General features: G+C 40.9%; 1 protein-coding gene across 10 annotated transcripts in view; it reads right to left on the reverse strand.

The window, feature by feature from the left end:
- The window catches only part of WDR89 (WD repeat domain 89), a 44,833-nt gene that overhangs the window by 38,007 nt on the left and 749 nt on the right, over positions 1-6,077 (reverse strand). The window lies entirely within an intron of this gene.

A 6,077-nucleotide genomic window follows, 5' to 3' on the forward strand; every position in this document is an offset into this window, starting at 1 on the left:
TACCAGACATTCAAAGAATTGGTACCAATCCTTTTGACACTATTCCACAAGATAACAAAGGAACTCTCCCTAATTCATTCTATGAAGCCAGCATCACCCTAATACCAAAACCAGGAAAGGACATAACCAAAAAACAAAACTATAGACCAATATCCTTGATGAACATAAATGCTAAGATCCTTAACAAAATACTAGCTAACTGAATCCAACAACATATCAAGAAGATAATCCTCCATGATCAAGTAGGTTTCATACCAGGAATGCAGGGATGGTTTAACATACACAAGTCAATAAATGTGATGTACCACATAAACAGAATTAACAACAAAAATCACATGATCATCTCAATAGATACAGAAAAAGCATTTGACAAAATCCAGCATCCCTTTATGATTAAAACTCTCAGCAAAATCAGCATATAAGGGACATACCTTAATGTAATAAAAACCATCTATGACAAACCACAGCCAACATAATACTGAATGGGGAAAAGCTGAAAGCATTCCCTCTGAGAACTGGAACAAGACAAGGATGCCCACTCTCACCACTCCTCCTCAATGTACTACTGGAAGTCCTAGCCAGAGGAATTAGACAACAGAAAGAAATAAAGGGCATCCAAATCAATAAAGAGGAAGTCAAACTGTCACTGTTTGCTGAAGACATGGTCAATTACCTTGAAAACTGTAAGGACTCCTCCAGAAAGCTCCTAGAACTGATAAAAGAATCCAGCAAAACTTTTGGATACAAGATTAATGTACACAAATCAGTAGCTCTTCTATACATCAACAGCGACCAAGCAGAGAATCAAATCAAGAACTCAACCCCTTTTACAATAGCTGCAAAAACAAACAAACAAACAAAACTTAGGAATATACCTAACAGGCTGGGTAGTGGCTCAAGCCTATAATCCCAGCACTTTGGAAGGCCGGGGCAGGTGGATCACTTGAGGTCAGGAGTTCGAGACCAGCCTGGCCAACATGGTGAAACCCCATCTCTATCAAAAATACAAAAAAATCAGTCAGGCGTGGTAGTGCACACCTGTAGTCCCAGCTACTTGGGAGGCTCAGGCAGGAGAACTGCTCAAACTCGGGAGGTGGAGGTTGCAGTGAGCCAGAGCAAGGCTCTATCTCAAAAAAGAAAGAAGAAAAAAAGAATATACCTAACAAAGGAGTCAAAAGACCTCTACAAGGAAAACTACAAAACACTGCTGAAAGAAATCATAGACAACACAAATGGAAACACATCCCATGTTCATGGACGGGTAGAATCAGTATTGTGAAAATGACCATGCTGCCAAAAGCAATGTGCAAATTCAATGCAATCCCCATCAAAATACCACGATCATTCTTCACAGAACTAGAAAAAACAATCCTAAAATTCATATGGAACCAAAAAGGAGCCCGCATAGCCAAAGCATGACTAAGCAAAAATAACAAATCTGGAGGCATCACACTAACTGATTTCAAACTATACCATAAGGCCATAGTCACCAAAACAGCATGGTACTGGTATAAAAATAGGCACACAGACCAATGGAACAGAATAGAGAACCCAGAAATAAACCCAAATACTTACAGCCAACTGATCTTCGACAAAGCAAACAAAAACATAAAGTGGGGAAAGGACACCCTTTTCAACAAATGGTGCTGGGATAATTGGCTAGCCACATGGAGGAAAAATGAAACTGGATCCTCATCTCTCACCTTATACAAAAATAAACTCAAGATGGATTAAGGACTTAAACCTAAGACCTGAAACTAACAATTCTAGAAGACAACATTGGAAAAACCCTTCTAGACATTGGCTTAGGCAAGGATTTCATGACCAAGAACCCAAAAGCAAATGCAATAAAAACAAAGATAAATAGCTGGGACATAATTAAACTAAAGAGCTTTTGCACAGCAAAAGGAATTGTCAACAGAGTCAATAGACAACAACAGAGTGGGAGAAAATCTTCACAATCTATACATCTGACAAAGGACTAATATCCAGCATCTACAACGAACTCAAATCAGTAAGAAAAAAAACAAACAAGCCCATCACAATGTGGGCTAAGGACATGAAGAGACAATTCTCAAAAGAAGATATACAAATGGCCAACAAACCTATGAAAAAATGCTCAACATCACTAATGATCAGGGAAATGCAAATCGAAACCACAATGTGATACCACCACACTCCTGCAAGAATGGCCATAAGTGAAGAATAAAAAAACAAGAGATGCTGGCGTGGATGTGGTAAACAGGGAACACTTCCGCACTGCTGGTGGGAATGTAAACTAGTGCAACCACTATGGAAAACAGTGTGGAGATTCCTTAAAGAATTAAAAAGCAGAACTAACATTTGATCCAGCAATCCCACTACTGGGTTATCTACCCAGAGGAAAAGTCATTATTTGAAAAAGATACTTGCACACGCATGTTTATAGCAGCACAATTCACAACTGCATAATCGTGGAACCAATCCAAATGCCCATCAATCAACAAGTGGATAAAGACACTGTGGTGGGTGTGTGTGTGTGTATATATATGTGTGTGTATATATATGTGTATATATATAATGGAATACTACACAGCCATAAAAAGAAATGAATTAACAGCATTTGCCATGACCTGGATGAGACTGGAGACTATTATTCTAAGTGAAGTAACTCAGGAATAGAAAACCAAACATCATATATTCTCACTGATATGTGGGAGCTAAGCTATGAGGACACAAAGGCATAAGAATGATACAATGGACTTTGGGGACTTGGCCGGGGGAGGGGGGGCAAGGGATTAAAAGACTACAAATATGGTGTAGTGTATACTACTCAGGTGATACGTGCACCAAAATCTCACAAATCATCACTAAAGAACTTACTCATATAACCAAATACCACCTGTACCCCAATAACTTACGGAAAAATTTTTTTTTTTTCAAAACAGCCTCGCTCTGTTACCCAGGCTGGAGTGCAGTGGCACGATCTTGGCTCACTGCAACCTCCGCCTCCCAGGTTCAAGTGATCCTCCTGCTTCAGCCCCCCAGTAGCTGGGACTACAGGCACGCACCATCATCCCCGGCTAATTTTTGTATTTTTAGTAGAGACAGGGTTTTGCCATGTTAGCCAGGCTGGTCTCAAACTCCTGACCTCAGGTAATCCACCCGCCTCGGCCTCCCAAAGTGCTGGGATTACAGGCATGAGCCACCGTTCTTGGCCAAAAAGTAAGTTTTAAAAAAAAGTCACTGCCCCCCCAAAAAAGAAAATTACAAGAAGCTACATTAGCTGGGCACTGGGTTGCATGCCCATAGTCCCAGCTAGGAGGCTTACGTGGGAACATCAGTTGAGCCCAAGAGTTTGAGTCCACCATAGGCAACATAGTGAGAACCCTATCTCTAAAAATAAATTTAAAAGTAAAACAATAATGAAACTACAGAATAAACAGTCTTTTCTCTAGAACAGCAATGCTTAAATATAATTCAAAACAGCATCAACCATGAACATATAAAACTGAATGCAAAAGTCACATAAAATTTTAAATTATAAGATTAGAATTCAAAGAAATTTTACTCTTCTAAAGCATTAATTCAGGCTTTGTTTCCAAATATCACAGGAATATTCATTTACCTTTGCTATTAAAGATATTCCAGTGGAAAAATTGGCGAAGCTCCAACCTGTGGTGACTTAGGTTATTTTCACAGTAATAAGAAAGTCTAACTCAGCAACCATTTACTGTGAATTTGTTTTTCTCTTATAGTCCCTGTGAGACTTTATGGGATAGGATGTTTTACTCTTCTTTATACCTTCCTGTGGTAGGCTGAACACTGGCCCTCAAAGATACAAAGGTCTTAATTCCTGGAATCTATGACTGTTTCATTATATGACAAAAGGGACTTTACAAAGTATGTTGAGATGGAGAGAGTATCCTTGTTTATCTGGGGGGGTCCTTAATATAATCACAAATGTCCTCATAAGAGAGGCAGAGGGAGATGTGACTACAGATGAGAAAGTGGTATGATGATAGCATGATGTCCTGTGCAGAAAAGAGCCACAAGCCAAGGAAGACAGGCAGCCACTACAAGCTGAAAAAGGTAAGGAAATGGATTTTCTTCTCACAGCCTCCAGAAGGAATTGGGCCTGCAACACTTTGACTTTAGTCCAGTGAAACTGATTTCATACTTCTGACCTCCAGAACTAAAAGACAATAAATGAGGCTGAGCATGGTGGCTCATGCCAGTAATGCCAGAACTTTGGGAGGCCAAGGTGGGAGGACTGCTTGAGCCCAGGAGTTTGAGACCCACCTGGGCAACATAGCGAGACCTCATCTCTACCAAAAAAAAAAAAAAAAAAAAGGAAGAGGTGACTCTCTTGAGTACATCTGCACTCCCCTTTCTTAAGTGTGTACTTTTCACCAAAGGAAAAAAAAAAAAGAAAGAAACAAAGGCAGAAAGAATAAATGTGTGTTATTCGAAGTCACTAAATCTGTTGTAATTTGTTACAGTAGCTATATGAACAAAATACACCCTTTTGACAGTTTGGCGATAATCTGTACATAATCTGCCCTAAAATATTGAACAGAATTAACATAAAGACCATTCCAGTTCAGATTTATCAAAATTCTCTTGTATTTTCTACCAAGTAAATGAAAATATCTTAAACACATGGAAATCACTGAAAATGTAGTTCTTTAAAGCACATAGGGAAAAAGTAAAAAAGCAGTAGCATCTTCAGTCGTATTTGCAGCTCATAGTGTCAGTTGCAGAAAAAGTAGTCATGACTTTAGTACAAAAGTACAACTCAAAAACTTCACGGGTTTGGCACAGTGGCTCGTGTGTAATCCCTGCCACTTGGGAGGCTGAGGCAGGAGGATCACTTGAGCTCAGAAGTTCGAGGCTGCAGTGAGCTAAGACTGTGCCACCGCACTCCCGTCTGGAAAAACACCCTGTATTTACAAAGTGAGAGAAAAGAACCCAAAAAGTAGTTACATGGGCTTGATCTTACTTTTGCTTTACAATAGCTACAACAATCTAAGGTAAGAATACAAACCAGGTAAGTAACATAGCTGCATTCACAGGAAAGTATTCCTGAATACTGAACAAGGAGATAAGCAGTCCATAGACGTTTCAGAGGATTTCTCACTTAAATGGTACTTGACTGCAAGTTACCACTGTTTTACTCGGCCATAGGTTGCAGTGCAGTCCAGGCTCCACAAGAAAGAATTTGAAAAGCAGAAACAGTCACGTGGCTTTCATCGGTAACATATTTTGTATCTATTAAATTATTTAATCCTCAGAACTCTAAGTAGTCAAGTTTGGTATTTATTTCAATTATACAGGTGAAAAAGCTGATGCTGACTTGTCCAGTCAAAGGTCAGTAACTGGTGCCTACTGCGATGTCTTTCCTCTAGATCATTTTACCTTGGTAACAATCGATTAATTCACTTCTAGGTGTGTTTTATTGACTTTTTTTTTTCTCTTTTTTGAGACGTTGTCTCACTCTGTCGCCCAGGCTGGAGTACAGTAGCACGATCTTGGCTCACTGCAACCTCTGCCTCCCGGGTTCAAGCGATTCTCCTGCCTCAGCCTCCCGAGTAGCTGGGACTACAGGCGCCCGCCACATTTTTGCATTCGTAGTAGAGACGGGGGTTTCACCATGTTGACCAGGCTGGTCTCGAACTCCTGACCTCGTGATCCGCCCGCCTCGGCCTCCCAAAGTGCTGGGATTACTGGCGTGAGCCACCGCGCCCAGGCTTTTATTGACTTTAAATAATTTCAAATTAATAAAGAAAACGGCCGGGCACGGTGGCTCACGCCTGTAATCCCAGCACTTTGGGAGGCAGAGGCGAGTGGATCACCTGAAGTCAGGAGTTCGAGACCGGCCTGACCAGTATGGTGAAATCCCGTCTCTACTAAAAATACAAAAATTAGCCGGGCGTGGTGCCAGGCGCCTATAATCCCGGCTACTCGGGAGGCTGAGGCTGGAGAATCGCTTGAACCCGGGGGGCGGAGGTTGCAGTAAGCCGAGATCGCCCCACTGCACTCCAGCCTGCGCGACAGCCTGAGACTCCATCTCAAAAAAAAAAAAAAAAAAGAAAAAG

This window comes from Homo sapiens, chromosome 14, assembly GCF_000001405.40.
Source record: "Homo sapiens chromosome 14, GRCh38.p14 Primary Assembly".
Lineage (NCBI taxonomy): Eukaryota > Metazoa > Chordata > Mammalia > Primates > Hominidae > Homo > Homo sapiens.